The sequence below is a fragment of the Homo sapiens genome, chromosome 8 (assembly GCF_000001405.40).
Source record: "Homo sapiens chromosome 8, GRCh38.p14 Primary Assembly".
NCBI lineage: Eukaryota > Metazoa > Chordata > Mammalia > Primates > Hominidae > Homo > Homo sapiens.
In genome coordinates, this window is record NC_000008.11 from 50,237,325 (window position 1) to 50,254,407 (window position 17,083).

At 35.6% G+C, this 17,083-nt stretch overlaps 1 protein-coding gene across 21 annotated transcripts in view; it reads left to right on the top strand.

The window, feature by feature from the left end:
- Nucleotides 1–17,083, top strand: part of SNTG1 (syntrophin gamma 1) — an 886,897-nt gene that overhangs the window by 327,529 nt on the left and 542,285 nt on the right. The gene's annotated exons all lie outside the window — the stretch shown is intronic.

Below are 17,083 nucleotides of genomic sequence, written 5' to 3' on the forward strand. Positions count from 1 at the left end.
CCATTATTTTTGGCAAGAATACTTTATTGGTGATGTCATGTACATCTATCAGATGCCGTGTGTTAACTTTCTCTCTTTTCATGAATTTGGCCATCATTGCTGATCATTCATTAGATTTCTTATTTCATTGGCATTTTGAGATGACATTCACTTATTCCCTAGAATATATTTAATGGAAAACATCATCTTATCAACTATTCATGTAACTTGAAAAACAGACCTTATAGAAAAGACAGGAAAAATGCTCAATTATTTATCTCTACTTTCAATATAATGATTTTTTTCCTGAACTCTCCTTCAAAGAAGGCAAAAGGGGATTTTATTTTAGTATCCATTTAAATTCATAGTTTTAAACATATTTAATCCATCACTGTTAAGATTCTCACTGATGCTAAAATAATCTCAAATTTGGCCAATAAGAACTTCTTCATATTGTCTCCTGAGTCTATATAATATATCCTAATAGTGTAAGGTAGTGTTTTGTCTTCTTTTATAAGAGATTTTAAGGGTTATACATTACTTGTCCTGAAATTACCTATTTCTATAAAAAAAGATATTTAGATATGAAACTCTGGGCACTCTGGCTACTCATTACTACTCAAACAGTCTTCGTTTCTTTGCCTATTACTAGAATGATACAACTTTTTGTTTTTAAGATAAGACACATCATGAGATCATATCCTGATTAAAATTGTTGAGCCATATGCATAGGAGGAATCAATATTATTAAAATGGCCCTACTGCCCAAAGCAGTTTCTAGATTCAATGCTATTCCTATCACACTACCAATGACATTTTTCACAGAATTAGAAAAATTTCTAAAATTCATATGAAACTCAAAATGAACCCAAATAACCAAAGCAACCCTAAGCAAAAGGAACAAAACTGGAGGGATCACACTACTTGACTTATAACTATACTACAAGGCTATTGTAAGCAAAATAACATGGTACTGATACAAAAGTAGATACATAGGCTAACGGAACAGATTAAAGAACCCAGAGATTAAGTCACACAGCAACAGCCATCTCATCTTTGTCAAAGCTGACAATAAAAAGAAATGGGAAAATAATTCACTATTCAATAAACGATGTTGGGATGACTTGCTAGTCATATGCATGAGATTAAAACTGGACCCCTTCCTTACACCATATACAAAAATCAACTTAAGATGGATTAAAGACTTAAATGTAAAACCTAATACTATAAAAATCCTAGAGGAAGACCTAGGATATATCATTCTGGACATTATTTCTGGCAAAGATATCATGACAAAGACTCAAAAAGCAACCGCAACATAAACAAACATTGACAAGTGGGACCTAATTAAGCTAAAGAGCTTTGCACAGCTAATGAAACTGTCAACAGAGTAAACAGACAACCTACAGAACGGAAAAAACATATTTGCAAAGTATGCTTCTGACAAAAGTCTGATATCCAAAATGTACAAGGAACTCAAACAAATTTGCAAGAAGAAAACAAACAACCCCATTAAAAGATGAGCAATGTTCATAGACAGACACTTCCCAAAAGAAGAAATACACATGAACAACAAGCATATAAAAAATGCTCAACATTATTAATCATTAGAAAAATGCAAATCAAAACCACAATGAGATACCATCTCACACCAGTGAGAATGGCGATTATTAAAAAGTCAAAAAATAACAGATGCTGGAGAAGTTGTGAGAAAGGGGAACGCTATACACAGCTTGTAGGAATGTAAATTAGTTCAGTCACACGAAAACCAGCTTGGAGATTTCTCAAGGAGCTTAAAACAAAACTGCCATTCAACCCTGCAATCACATTACTGAGTACATAAGCAAAGGAATGTAAATTGTTCTACCATAAAAACATTTGCACATCTATGTTCATCACAGCACTATTCAGAATAGCAAAGACAGGGAATCAACCTAGATGCCCATCAGTGGAAGACTGGATGATTTAGTTCATTCGCACACTGCTATAAAGATAGTACCCAAGACTGGGTAATTTATAAACAAAGGAGTTTTAATTGTCTCACAGTTCTGCATGGCTGGAGAAGTCTCAGGAAACTTACAATCATGGTGGAAGGGGAAGCAGGCACCTTGTTCACAAAGTGGCAGGAGAGAAAGTGAGTGCAAACGCTGGAAAAACTACCATTTATAAAACCATCAACTCTTGTGAGAATTCATTTACTGTCCATGAGAACAGCATGGGGAAACTGCCCCCATAATCCAATTACTCAGTTGTAAATGAGGACCAGTTGGCAATGGAATTTCTCCTAATATCAAGGGTATCAGAATAATATCTGATTTCCCTGCTCCACTTTCTCCTGGAATCACTGCTGACTTCACCAGGGATTGTTGCAGTGTGTGGTTCAGGCTTCCAAATCTTTTAGGTTTGTGAGGATACTTCGTCAATATTGTTACAGATGTTCTTCATAGTTTTGTTTGTTCCTTTAATTATTCACTAGGTTTACACTGCTTATGCTATTGTTTCATTTATTTCAGGGATCAGGGGAGAGTTAAAGATTTTGGGGTGGGTAAATCTACTATTATCTTTCCAGACCTCGGTCTCAATTTGATAGTATGCTCAACAGTTAGAACAGCATCAATTTAAAAATCCCAATTCTCCTTTCTGATATAAGAACAACCTTTGACTTCCATCACTTCTGAAAATTCACTAAGTAACTATAATCTTTTGACTGCTGCAATGGGCAGGAAGTTGTAGGTATATTTGTAAAAACAGTTAATGCTAAAGATATTGGGGTTAATGGAAAGACAAACTAAAGACTCTCTTGGTATTTGCAGAGAGAGCTCATTAATATGCCTGTTAGACTTTTGCAATGAGACATGCCTAGATATTTCCATTTGAAGAAAGTAAATTAACAGAAAAGGAAATAAGCCATTTTTGCTCCTGAAATGCAGGCAAGGCTTTGCGTATTGTTTGCTTTCACAAGGATTCCAAGCACTTTTCTTTTATGAAGTTGGTTTTGTATTTTTAATTTCAGCAGAAGGTGACAACAGGCTGAATTGCTTTTCTCAATACCAGAATTCATAATTTCTCCTTAATAATGATTGTGGAATAAATGACATTTACTTAGCTAAAAAATTTAAAATTCCAGTAAGTCTCTTTAGTTACATTTGAAATAATTTAAATTTTACGAACCATCATGAATCCTGAACTCTACTTTTGCTTTGTGACTTCTTAGAACAAACTAAACCTATCACAAGATTTTATATATTATGTAAAAAACAATTTTGTACCAAGAGAGCTCTCCTCTACGATTAGCAGGAGAGGCGGGAAACAAGCGGCACAGAGGATCCTGGAGCTCAGTCAAGCTCCATCCTCCCCGACATTGTCTCAGCCCATAGTTAAGCAACACTTCGGTTCTTCATGTTGGCCTCTGACTCATTCCCTCACCCATAAGTACTTTATAGCATAATGCTTAAACAAAGAAAATAAGTTTATATAAACTAATGCTTAAACAAAGAAAACAAATTTATGCTTAAATAATTTTGATTTACCAGTTTCTAAAATAGAGGTATTTCCCGTGAAAGATTCATATTCCAATTTCATATTTTTTAATCTCAAGGTGATGATTTATATTTTTCTGGATTTTTTTTCCCTAACAACGAAGGGTGATAAATAGAAGAAAGGTAGCCTTAATGTAATTAAACCTTGATAAATTCAAACAATGTCCACTATAAAAAGTCTTTAGGGAGTTTATGAGGTCATAGGATAGTCTTCTCTTTCCTTAGGAAGTTAGAGTAAGTAGAAAGACAATTTCCTCTCAGTCTGGGTTAAGGCTAGTGGTAGAGTAAAAAGTTCTGATACACTTATACTTCCAGAGTTAATGTATACATTTGTTTTGTGTTTTTAATTTTACAAAGTGTTTTGAAATATTGTGGTTCTTTAAAAATGTTTTTACTCTCTAGCTACTGATTTATGTGAACCTACATTATATTTAAAGTCAAATATATAGAAAGAAGAGCAGAGAGTGTGAATGGCAATGGCTTGCCATCAGAGAGATACTTTGAGAAAGACAAGTTCAGACTGAATGTTACTAGATGAGGTGACAGAATGGTTCCAGGTAAATGGAAGAAAAACAATATTTTTTAATGTGTGGCAATATTCTGTTGAATTTTAGTCTCTAGGCTGCCACAGTGACAAAGATGAAGCTATGCAATATTTCTATGAATCTGTTTAGGGGCTGGAGTAAAGAGCAGTTATTTAGGTGGGTGGTGTCTGATGTCCCAGTGGGCAGACATTCTGCATCTATGAAGCTTCTTCAAGGCCTTAAGTACTGCTTTTAGGTTTACGTGAACAGACTTTACTTTTGGCGAAGAGAAGAGTAAGGTGATGTCTCAATGTGAAGAGGAAGTTGCAAAAACAGTTTTCATAGTGTGCCAACATGAACTAAGGTAGAACTATATTGATGAGCAGGGTTAATGATTCATGCCAGATGGGATGATAATGAACTTTACAATTATGCAGTAATTCCTCTTCTCAGCTCGGAAGTGCCTCAGAGTACGCAGGTAGAACTTGGGAAGCAATAGGGATCCCACTGCCCAGCACTAACATATCAGTCTCAGGTCATCTGCCCATGGTCTTGAGGTTCTCACTGCAAACACTAAACCTCACTTCTGGAGTGATGGGGGATTTAGGCTGATACTTGCTTCAAAATGCTCCCTCTTAACTGGAGCCCTCCTTCCTCTCGATGGATCACTAGATAGATACATAGATAGATAGACACACAGATACACACACACATATCTACGTATATATACGTATACATATCTACATATATATGTATACATATATACATACATATACATATGTGTATATATGTATATTAATATTTATATTTGGTTTATCATAAAGAAAATGTCTTCTATAAGTCTTTGAATAAAGCTGATGCTCTAAGAAGATGTATCCTAGGCCAGGTGTGGTGGCTTACACCTGTAATCCCAGGACTTTGGGAGGCAGAGGTGAGTGAATCGCTTGAAGTCAGGAGTTCAAGATCAGCCTGGTCAACATGGCGAAACCCCATCTCTACTAACATAGAAAAATTAGCTGGGCATGGTGGTGTGTGCCTGTAATCCCAGCTACTTAGGAGGCTGAAGCAGGAGAATCACTTGAACCTGGCAGGTGGAGGTTGCAGTGAGCCAAAATCATGCCACTGCTCTCCAGCCTGGGTGAAAGAGTGAGAATCCATCTCAAAAAAAAAAAAAAAAAACACACCAGGAAATGTATTGTATTTATTCTGTAGGTTTTTATGGAAGCTTGTATATTGATGTGAAGCCCCCAAATATGTACACATTCCAACTTGTGAGGTGTGGGAGTGGTTAGTCATTATCTACTCTGTATCTTTCCATTAATTTGTTTGTATAGCCATATCCATATCACGTATGTATTATGATATTATTACTATAATAATTACTATATAATTATCTATTATCATATATTATCTATTTATATTACCATATTATCTATTTAAAGAAAATATAAGCATGTAAATAAACATAGAAAATATAAGCACATATACTACCTTTTATTTATTTATGTGCTTATAGAAAATAAATAATGTATGTTTTTAGAATAGCATTGCATAGAAATCATGAAATTTTCTTTGATTCATGCAGGACTTACAGAGCATGTCTGTTGAGATCTATGAGTTTGTCTGTTATTTCTACTAAGGTTTTGAAATAGTTTTTTGAATATTGACACAAAATAAATAAATTTGACTTCTGAGAGTTAATTACATGTGAGAATTAGTAAACTGTTGAACAAAAAACATGTATCTATGAAATATTTAAGAATAAATTGACCGCTAATGGTATATGTTCAGATAAATGAGTCCTGAATTATCTTATATATTTGAAAGACCTCTGTGAAAATTAATTATATTGTAACATTTTAACAGTCTGACCCAAAACTATGTGACAGTATTATCTGACATTTCAGGTTCATAAAAGAATTGCAATTATATATGCTTAGTTAGGGTTTGATGCAAGTGTAGGTTTTCTGAATTTATAGATATTTTTGAATAATTCAATTATGGAGTAACTTTTCCCTATTTTACTAAAATTTATCTAGATCAATTTGATTTTTAAAGATCCTCTCATCTTTCTTTCCATCTCTACTGTATCCATCTTAGAAATAAAAACTCTCCGGATTTGAAGGGATTTTAAAATGCAAATGTCTGTTTGCTGCATCAAGCAATTCTACTCTATTCCTGGATACCACTGATTAACCATTTTTAAACATCTTCAGGGACACAGAACTCACTAGTTTTAACACAACACTTTTTGGGCCTACTGTAAGAGCAAATGTGATGCATTTTAAGGCGTTTGGGCCAGGTCTCAGGGTAATTAATTAATTTTTTTTTTACTGTTCCATGGACATACACACAGATTACATGTTCTAGAATGTTAGATTAGAGTTTAAAACTCTAATAAGTTTCCTCTTTTCATTTTATGAAAAAAACAAATACATGATTCAAGAATGAACATATGATTGAGGATAGGAATAACTGATATATTCCCTAATATCTCCTTTTTCTTCATTGAGATAACCTTAGAAGACTGAGGAATCGACCTTTCTGTCATTGAGCTGGGGTTTTGGGGGAAGGAGAATATATTAGACCATTCTTGCATTGCTGTAAAGAAATACCTGAGACTGGGTGATTTATAAAGAAAAGAGGTTTAATTGGCTCCTGGTTCTTCAGGCTATATGAGCATGTTGCTGGCATCTGCTTGGCTTCTGGGGAGGACTCAGGGAGCTTTTACTCATAGCAGAAAGTGAAGTGGGAGCAGACATGCAGGAGCAAGAGACAAGAGAGTAGTGGGAAGGGGAGTACCATAATTTACAACACGCAGATCTTGGGAGTACCCACTCGCTATCATGAGGACAGCACCAAGCCATGAGAAATCCACTCCCGTGACCCAAATACCTCCCACCAGGTCCCACTGCCAACAATGGGGATTACAATTCAACATGAGATTTAAGAGGTGACAAATATCCAAATCATGTCTGAGAAGGCTTTTAGTAAGTGGGGAGATTCTTTTTTTCACTGTGTCAACAGGCTCAAAGTATCAAGGGAGGCCTACAAAATCCAACCTTAGATCCTCTTGTTATTCATATTTGTGTTTCATGACACTCTAAAATACAAGTCATGAGCTTCAAAACCATATCCATCTGATTCCAAAAGTCTGTGAATGTCCTACCTCAAGCATATATATTTTTAAATTCTAGGTTGAGCATGTTTAATTTTCTGTTTCCCTCAGGAGGACTCTGGTTACTTTAAATTTCAATATAAAATTTAGCTGTTCTGAACATAGGGAGCTCTATTAGCACAGCAGACATTCTCATGGGCTCCAACCTGAATATCTACCGCATCCACAAATATATGAATATTTACCAACTCTTTGCCAATGTAAGACCACATAATGGTTAGTCAAGTGTCAAGATATTCAGGTTAAGAAAAACTTGCAGTCTCAAATATGCTTGGCGATCACAGAATAGATGCTAGATACTTATTTCAAGTGTATTATCCTATAAACCTAATTCAAAGAGAGAAAAGGATAGATAGACATTCTACAAAGCTAGGATTAATTTTCATTTGAAAAATTTTATTGTACAGTTTAAAGTATGATTCATGTTAATATAAGTAAATGCCATTTTTACATTTTTTTTCCATTATCATTCTTGCAACAAAAGTTTTATTATGTTTTCTTGGTTGGATCAGAGCAATTACAACTCTCAAAGTGTCTAGGAATCATCTCAGTGCATGTGTACGCAGCAATAAACATGCTTCATTCTCTGGGTCAGTCAGATTGTTCTCTCTCTTCCAAATGGCCTAAGAAGTTAACAGACTAAATGAAGGTGACTTGAAAATCATGCTTGGGGCTTCTCTCACACTCCTGAAAGCACACTGATCTGGAGTTTTCAGTGTCTCACAATTCCTTGATTTGAGACAGATCACCAGACTATAGATTCTTTGGTTTCTTCTGCTTTTTTAAGTTTGATAGTTAAATAAGTAGCAGCATGGTATGGAGGGAGGAGCAGAAACTGTAAAGTGAATGTAAAATAGCCTGAGTGTGGTGGCTCACACCTGTAATCTCAGCACTTTGGAAGGCTGAGGCGTGCGGATCACCTGAGATCAAAAGATCGAGACCATCCTGGCCGACATGATGAAACCCCATCTCTACTAAAAATACAAAAATTAGCTGGGCATGGTGGTGCATGCCTGTAATCTCAGCTACTTGGGAGGCTGAGGCAGGAGAATCCCTTGAACCCAGGAGGCGGAGGTTGCCATGAGCCGAGATTGCACCACTGCACTTCAGCCTAAGTGGCAGAGTAAGAGTCCATCTCAAACAAACAAACAGACAAAAGAAAACAAAACAAAAAAAGGATGTAAAATAGATGTAAAGTCCTCTTCTCATTGTGACCTGGGGCTTGTCAGCCATCCCTGTGAGCTCAACTTTCTTATATGTCAGTCGTAACACTATAGTGATGAGAATATTCTTGTCTTGTGGTAGTCATTATGCGTGATAGAACGTGTAAGTACAACTTTGCAAACTATGAAAACTTTGTCGATTATTAAGAATTACATCAATGCCTATCCCTTTTGTCCTCAAATTAGGGTAACCGCTAAACAATTATAATTTCAAAAGCCATGGTCAATATAATAGCCAGATGAAGGCTTTATCTATTTTGTAATTAAAGAAAAACAGTGGAAAACATTAAATAATCCTTATTAAAATGTATTAAAATCTCTCATGCACAGAAGTAATACAGACCTGATACTAGATGCATAAAATGTGAAACTATTAATAATGGGTAAGTAGATATTGTCTGATCATTTAAAACTGGAGTAGAAATATAACATCCTTAATCTGCTTATTCTTTGGTAAGTTCCTAGGGCTATGGTAACAATGATCCACAAACTAGATAGCTTAAGGAGCAGATACAAGGGGACATCAAAAAGTGTGTGGAAAAATGGAATTAAAAGACAACAATAAAAATATCAATCAGCTCTACTTCTCAACATAAGTTCCATCAAGTTTAACACACTTTTGTAAATGATGATACCAGCCATTTAGTTTATCCATAAAGACCTGAGGATCCTGGGAATAGAACCAAGTCAATCCACTCTTCTTAACATTACTAAGTGAAGAAACATTAGTGTCTTTCTTTTTTTTTTTTTTTGCTTAATTAGAAAAGAAAGAAAGTCAGAAGGAGCCAAATCAGGGTCGTAAGGTGGATGCCTAATGATTTCCCTCGAAATTGCTCACAAAATTGCCCTTGTTTGATGAGAGGAATGAATAGGAGCATTATCGTGGTGAAGAAGGGCTCTTTGGTGAAGCTTTCTTGGGTATTTTTCTTCTAAAGCTTTGGGTAACTTTCTCAAATCACTCTCATGGTAGGAAGATATCATGATTTGACCCTCCAGAGAGTCAACAAATAAAATGCCTTGAGCACCCCAAAAGACCAATGTCATCCTCTTGACTGGTCCACTTTGGCATTGACTAAACTACTTCAACCTCTTTTTAGCCATTGCTTCAATTGTGCTTTGTCTTCTGGATTGAAACACTGAAGCCACTGTTACAATTCTTTAAGCAAATGCTTCAGGATCTTGAACTCACTTGTTAAAGATTTCCATTGAAAGTTCGGCTCTTGTCTGTAGCTGATCTGGACACAAAGGGCTTGTCACCCACTGAATGGAAAGTTTGCTTACCTTTAATTTTTCCATCAGGATTTAGTAAGCTGAACCTATTAAGGTGTTGGCTATTGTTTCTGATCTTAGTCATTGGTCCTTTTCCATTAGGGAACGAACAAGATGAATATTTTCTGCACGATTTGTGTATGGTCTATTACTGCAGGCTTCATCATGAACATTGTCTCATCCCTTCTTATAATGAGTTATCCACTCACAAACTGCTTATTTCTTTGGGGCATTGTCCCCATAAACTGTTCATAAAGCATCAGTGATGTTACCATTCTTCCACCCAAGTTTCACCATAAATTTGGTGTTTGTTCTTGCTTCAGATTTAGCAGAATTCATATTGCTTTGATAGGGGCCATTTTCAAGCTGAAGAAAGCATCATCCTTCTTAGTGCCTCAAACTAGATTTTGTTCTGTCATGTTATCTTAAGTTAGTGCAACTTACTTTGGTGCAAAAAAATTGAAATCTATGAATAGATTAAAAAAATTTTAGAGACAAATACTCTGTCACCCAGGCTGCAGTATAGTGGCATGATCATAGTTTAATGTAACCTCAAACTCCTGGGTTCTGGTAGTCCTCCTGCCTCAGCCTCCTGAGTAGCCAGGACTAACGGTGCATTCCACCAGTCCCAGCTAAAGTTTTTAGTTTTTTTTTTTAATTTTTATTTTGTAGAGACTGGGTCTTGTCACGTTGCCCAGACTGGTCTTGAAGTCCTGGGCTTAAGTGATCCTCCCACCTCAGCTTCCCAAAGTGTTGGAATTACAGCCGTGAGCCACTGTGCTTGGTCCCATGGGTTTTTCATAATACTAATTTTCCATGAGCTTTTTGAAGACCCTTTGTATTTATTGTCTCATAATTTTGTAGGCAAGAAGTCTGAGATCAAGTTGTTGGCAGGGTTGGTTTCTTCTGAGAGCTATGAAGGAAAGATCAGTTCTGGGACTCTTTCCTTGGCTTATATATGGTTATGGTCGTCTTCTCCCTGTGTCTCTTCACATCTTCTTCCCTCCATTTGTGTCTTTCTCTGTACCCAAATTTCCCCTATTTATAAAGACATCTGTCATATTGAATTAGGGTCCACACATATGGCTTCATTTTAAGTTGATTAGTTCTGCAAACACCTTATCTCCATATAAGCTCAGATTCTAAGGAACGAGGAGTTAGGACTTCAACATTTGCATAATGGTGGGGGAGGGAAATTGTCAACCCATAAAATAGTCTATGTTTAAAAGCATAGCCCCCAAATCAAACCTCCTTATTTGATAACTATAAAGCCTTCTTGACTTGTCAAATAAAAGTGACAAGTCTCTCCATATTTGACTTTCAATTTCTCTTCAGCCATATTATTTTAAACTCAATTCCCCCAAGGACAAACATGTTCTTATACATCTTTGCATTTCCAAAAGTTGATTTACTTGTCCCAAAGATTTTTTCTTTGCTTGACATCTTCATAAATCTCTCTGCATACCACTTTCCTCAGTCAGACTATTAATTCTCCAGTGAAGCCTTTTTCTAACACCTACTTCAGCCTTAATGATAAATTCTCCAGATTACAAGGCCTCTCTGGTCTTTGTAACAAGTTTATGCTCTTTGAAATGAGTAACTCTATCTCTATCTAGATATATCCAGAGACCACCACAAAAATAAGGTACAGAATACACGGCAATCACTAAATATATGTTAAAAGAACAAATAAAAAGAGAACAAAGTAATTAGAGAGATAGAAATAAAGATGGTGGTGCTGCTGATTATGATATTAGCAATAATTCATATTTCTTGAGTACTTACCATATGCCAGGTATGTGCTAATTGGTTTATAAATTCTATTCTCACTTTACAAATAAAATGTTATAATTTGGCTAAATATCCTGCCTCAGCTTACAAAGTGACTAGAAAGAGATGCCAAAAGAGAATGACATCAGCATGGTGGCCATCAAGGTAACATCAAAATTCCTGTGGAGCATGGGAGCCCAGTATAACACCATATAGAGTGGAGCATGGTACCCTGTATCTGTCACACTGTATCTCCTACTAGATCAGATCACAGACAGGAGAAACCTCTTCCTACAAGGAAAATACAAGCTGGAGACACTCATTGGTCTTCATCACTGCCAGATACGAATGGTAACTGATAGAGGAGGATCTTCTAGTCCTTACAGGCCCTGAGTTCAGTGTGAAAATTGCTGGAAATCTGCACAGTTGCAACCCATCCCCAGGGCAGGAGTCCTCATGGCATTTGCAACCCGTATGACCTAAGAAGCTATGGCACAGTCTTGGACATTGGAGCAGAGTTCTGCATAGCAGCAAAACTGCATGCACCTGTCCCCACCAACAGCCAGGCCAGAGGCAGTCCTGCCCCATAAGCTGGCCTCACCTCAGCAGAGAGGTTTGGGGGCAGCCCCTGGACTCACATGTACCTGCCCCTAGCTTGACAGCTTCCTAGAGGTAAACCCATTTCTCTAGAGGAACTCTTGCTCAGTTGCTTAACACATGCACACCCACCCCTGCCCCTTACAGACCAGGCAGTGACCCTGACAATTCAGAAGAGCCTACCACAAAATTTGACTTCCATGCCTGCATGTGTCCTACCAATGACTAGTCCACCACCCTTGCCACTACAACACCACAGTCACAAACTGCTGTAGCCTAGGCCTATAATAATCTCACACATCACAATCAAGGGTTGTAACTGAAGCATCTGCACAGAGAACATGCTACTGAGTTCACCCAGAACCAAAGCCAATGCTACATTCTCAACCAACATCCTAGGATCCATTTACAGGAAAAAGCTTTTTCCTATGAAAGTTATTCCATAAATTGGAAAAAGAAATTGTTCTACTAGATACACAGATATCAAGGTAGGGACACAAGAAACAAAAAAGCAAAAAATATAACAACCACAAAATAACAGGGTTCTTTGTCTCTAGCAACAGATCATAAATGAAAGGGTATTTATAAAATGCTTGAAAAAGAATTACTAATAATGATTTCAAGAAAACTCAGGGAGATATAAGAGGATCTAGAAAAAAAAATTCAATGAAATCAGGAAAACAATTATGATATGAACGAAAAATGTAATAAAGAGATAGATACTATAAAAAACAGAATTGTTGGAGCTGAAGAATTTAACAAATGAAATAAAAATACAATAGAGAGTTTTGACAACACTAGATCAAGCAGAAGAAAGAATCTCTGAGCTTAAAAGTAGGCATTTTGAAATAACCCTATCAGAAAAAAATTTAAAAAAAGGAAAGAAGAATGAAAAAGAATAAAGAAAGCCTATGTGATATATGGGACTTCATTAAGCAAACAAGTATTCACATTATACAAGTGCCACAGAAAAAGAAAATAACCAAGTATAGTAAACATACTTATAGCTGAAAAGTTCCCAAGTCTTAGGGGAGATATGGACATCCATGTCTAAGAAGCTCAAAAGTTTTCAATGATTTTTAACCCAAAAATATTCTTTCCAAAGCACATTATAATCAAAATGTCAAAGGTTAAAGACAAAGAATTCTAAAAGCTGCAAGAGATAAATGTCAAGTTACATATAGGGGAATTTCCATTAGACTATCAGCATATCTCTCAGCAGAATCTCTGCATGCCAGGAAAAAAATTGATGACATACTACAAACACTGAAAGATAATAAACAAACAAAAAGAAAGCAAACAAACAAAAATAAAAAATTTCTCACAGCCAAGAATATTATATCCAGCAAAGCTATTCTTCAGAAACAGCAAAATAAAGACCTTCGCAGACAAGCAAAAACTGAGGCAATCCATCACAATTAAAATGACCTTATTAGAAATGCTAAAAAAGGAAACAAAAGGATAATAATTAATATTATGAAAATACAAAACTCAGCAGTATAGGTAAATGCATAACCATACCCAGAATTCCCTGGTGCTGTAATAGTGCTATGAAATTCTTCAATATTACAGTATGTAGGTTTAAAGTCAAAAAGGTAAAAACACCAACAGCTGCAATTAATGACTAAGGAACACATAGAAGATAAATATACAAATTACAGTAACCAAAATGCAAATGAAAAGGGAGAGGGAAAAAAAGTCTATAGTATTTTTATGTGACCAAAGTTAAGTTGTTATCAGCTTAAAATAGGCCACTATACCTATAAGACTTTTCATGTTAACCTTATGGTAACCAAACACACACACAGACAAAATTATAGTAAATGTGCAAATGAGAAAGAGAAAAGAAACAAAATTTAGCATTACAGAAAACCACCAAACCAGAGAGGTAAACAACGAGAGAAGGAAAAAGAAACAAAATATCTACAAAACAACCAAGAAATCGTTAACAAACTTGCAGGAGTAATTATTTGCCTATAAATAATAACATGAATGTAAGTGGATTAAATTTTCCAATTTAGGTTTAGAGTAGTTAAAAGGATAAAAAACAAAATCCCACTATATGTTGCCTATAACAGATGCACTTCACTGTTAAACACAGACAGACTGAAAGTAAAAGGATGGAAAAATATATTTCATACAAATGGAAACCAAAACCAAGCAGAGATACGCATACTTATATCAGATAAAATACATATTAAGTGAAAAACTCAGAAAAGACAAAGGATATTATTATATAATAATTACATAACTAACTCAACAAGAATTTACAACAATTATGAATATGTATGCACCCAAAACAGGTCTAGCAAGTATTACTAGACCTAAAAGGAGAGTTAGATAGAAATATAATAATGGTAAGAGACTTCAGCTTCACATTTTCAGCAATAAACAGATACTTTTAGACAGAACATTAATAAAGAAACAACAGACTCAAACTATACGATAGATCAAATGTACCTAACACATATTTACAGAACATTCCATCTACAGCTGCAGAATTCCAAGTTTTCTTAACTGCATATGGAACATTCTCGAGGGTAGATTACATATTAGGCCACAAAACAAGTCTAAACAGATTTAAGAAGATGGAGATAATATCAAGTATCTTTTATGACCACAGAAGTATAAAACTAGAAATTAACAAGGAAGACTTCAAAAACCTTACAAATACATGAAAATTAAACAGCATCCTCCACATTAACCAATAGATCACTGAGAAAATTAAAGGAGAAATTTAAAAATTTCTTGAAACAAATGATAATAAAAACACATCATACTGAACTGTATAGAAAATAACAAAAGCAGTTCTATAAGAAAAGTTTATAGCAATAAACATCTACATCAAAACAAGAAAAATATTTATAATCAACAACCTAATTGTATAACTCAAGGAACTAGAAAAACAAGAATAAGTTAAGCCCAACATTAGTAGTGGAAGGGAACTAATAAAGCTCAGACCTAAATAAACAAAATAGAGACTAAAATAATTCATAAGATCAACTAAACAAAGAGTTGGGTTTTGGAAAAAATAAACAAAATTAACAAACTCTTGGTTAGATTAACTGAGAAAAAAAGAGAAAAAACCCAAATAAATAAAATCAGAGATAAAATTGAAACATGATTATTAAGATCACAGATACAAAGGTTGCACACAAAGCAGAATGCCAGCATCTGCTTCTGGTGAGGGCCTCAGGATGCTTCCATGGTGGAAGTTGAAGGAAGAGACCACAAATCACATGGCAAGGCTGAGAACAAGAGAGAGGGAGTGGGGAAATGCCACGTTCTTTTAAACAAACGGATCTTGAGTGAAGTCATTACCACTCATTACTGTGGGGAAGACACAAAGGCAGTCACAAGGGATTCACCCCCATGACTCAAACACCTCCCACCAGGCCCTACGTCCAACATTGACAGTCACATTTCAACATGAGATTTGAAGGGGACAAAACATTGAACCATATCAGACAGTAAAAGACATTTCTCAATAGAAGAAATACACATGGCTAACAAGTACATTAAAAAGTGCTCATCAGTAATAATGAGGGAAATGAAAATGAAAACCACAATAAGATACACCCTCAATCCAAGTAGAATGTCTATTATATAAAACCCAAAAGAAAACAAGTGGTGGTGATGATGTAGAGACAGGGGAACATTTACACACCGTTGGTGGGACTGTAAATCCGTACAGCCACTGTGAAAAGCAGCACGGAGATTACTTTAAGAATTAAAAATAGAGGCCATGCTCAATGGCTCACTGTTATTCCAGCACTTTGGGAGGCTGAGGTGGGTGGATCACCTGAGGCCAGGAGTTCAAGACCATCCTGACCAACATGGAGAAACCCTGTGTCTACTAACAATACAAAATTAGCCAGGCGTGGTGGCGGGCACCTGTAATCCCAGCTACTCAGGAGGCTGAGACAGGGGAATCATTTGAACCTGGGAGGCAGAGGTGACTGTGAGTGGAGATCACACGATTGCATTTCAGCCTGTGCAACAAGAGTAAAACTCCGTCTTAAATAAATAAATAAATAAATAAAAATAAAGGTAGAGCTACCATATGAGCCATTGGGTATAAATCCAAGGGAAATGAAATTGGTATGTCAAAGAGATTTCTGCTCTCCCATGTTAATTGTAGCACTATTTCCAAAAGCCAATTTATGGAATTAACCCATGTATACAACCATGGATGAATGGAGAAAGAAAATGTGGTGTGTGTGTGTGTGTTCCATATATACACACATATATATGTATACACACATATATGTATACACACACACATATATAAATACACATATATGTATATATGGAATGGAATACTATTCAGCTGTAGAAAAGAATGAAATCTTACCATTTGCAACAACATGGATGGACCTGAAGAACATTATGTTAAGTGAAATAAGCCAGACACAGAAAGGTCACAAGATCTCATTCCATGTAGAATCTAAAAAAAAAAAAAGTTCATCTCATAGAAGCAGGGAGTAAAGCGAGGGGAGTAGGGAGGGAAAGATGGAGAGAGGTTGGTGAATGAATAACCATTGATAATTACAAGGAATAGGTTGTGGTATTTTACTGCACAATGTGATGAAAATAGTTAACAGTAAGGTATTATATATTGGAAAACAGAAACGAGAGGATTTTGAATATTCTCACCTCAATGAAATGATCAATGCATGAGGTGATGGATACACTCGATACCTTGATTTCATCATTATACAATGTATATATGTATTAAAATATTACATTGTATGCCATAAATATGTATAATTACAAGATTTCAACAATAAATTTAAAATAAATGCACAAGTATGATGTCAGAATTGGAACCATGAAGATGAAACTCAAAGACTATATTCTCGATCAATACAAATTTTTAACTACTAAAGAATAAAACCCATGTAAGATGTTTTGGTTAGATGGTACAGTTTATTTTGCAGAACTCACCTTCATCCGTGTACCTTTTTTGAAAACTCAAAGATTACTAAAAGAGCTTTGAAATAT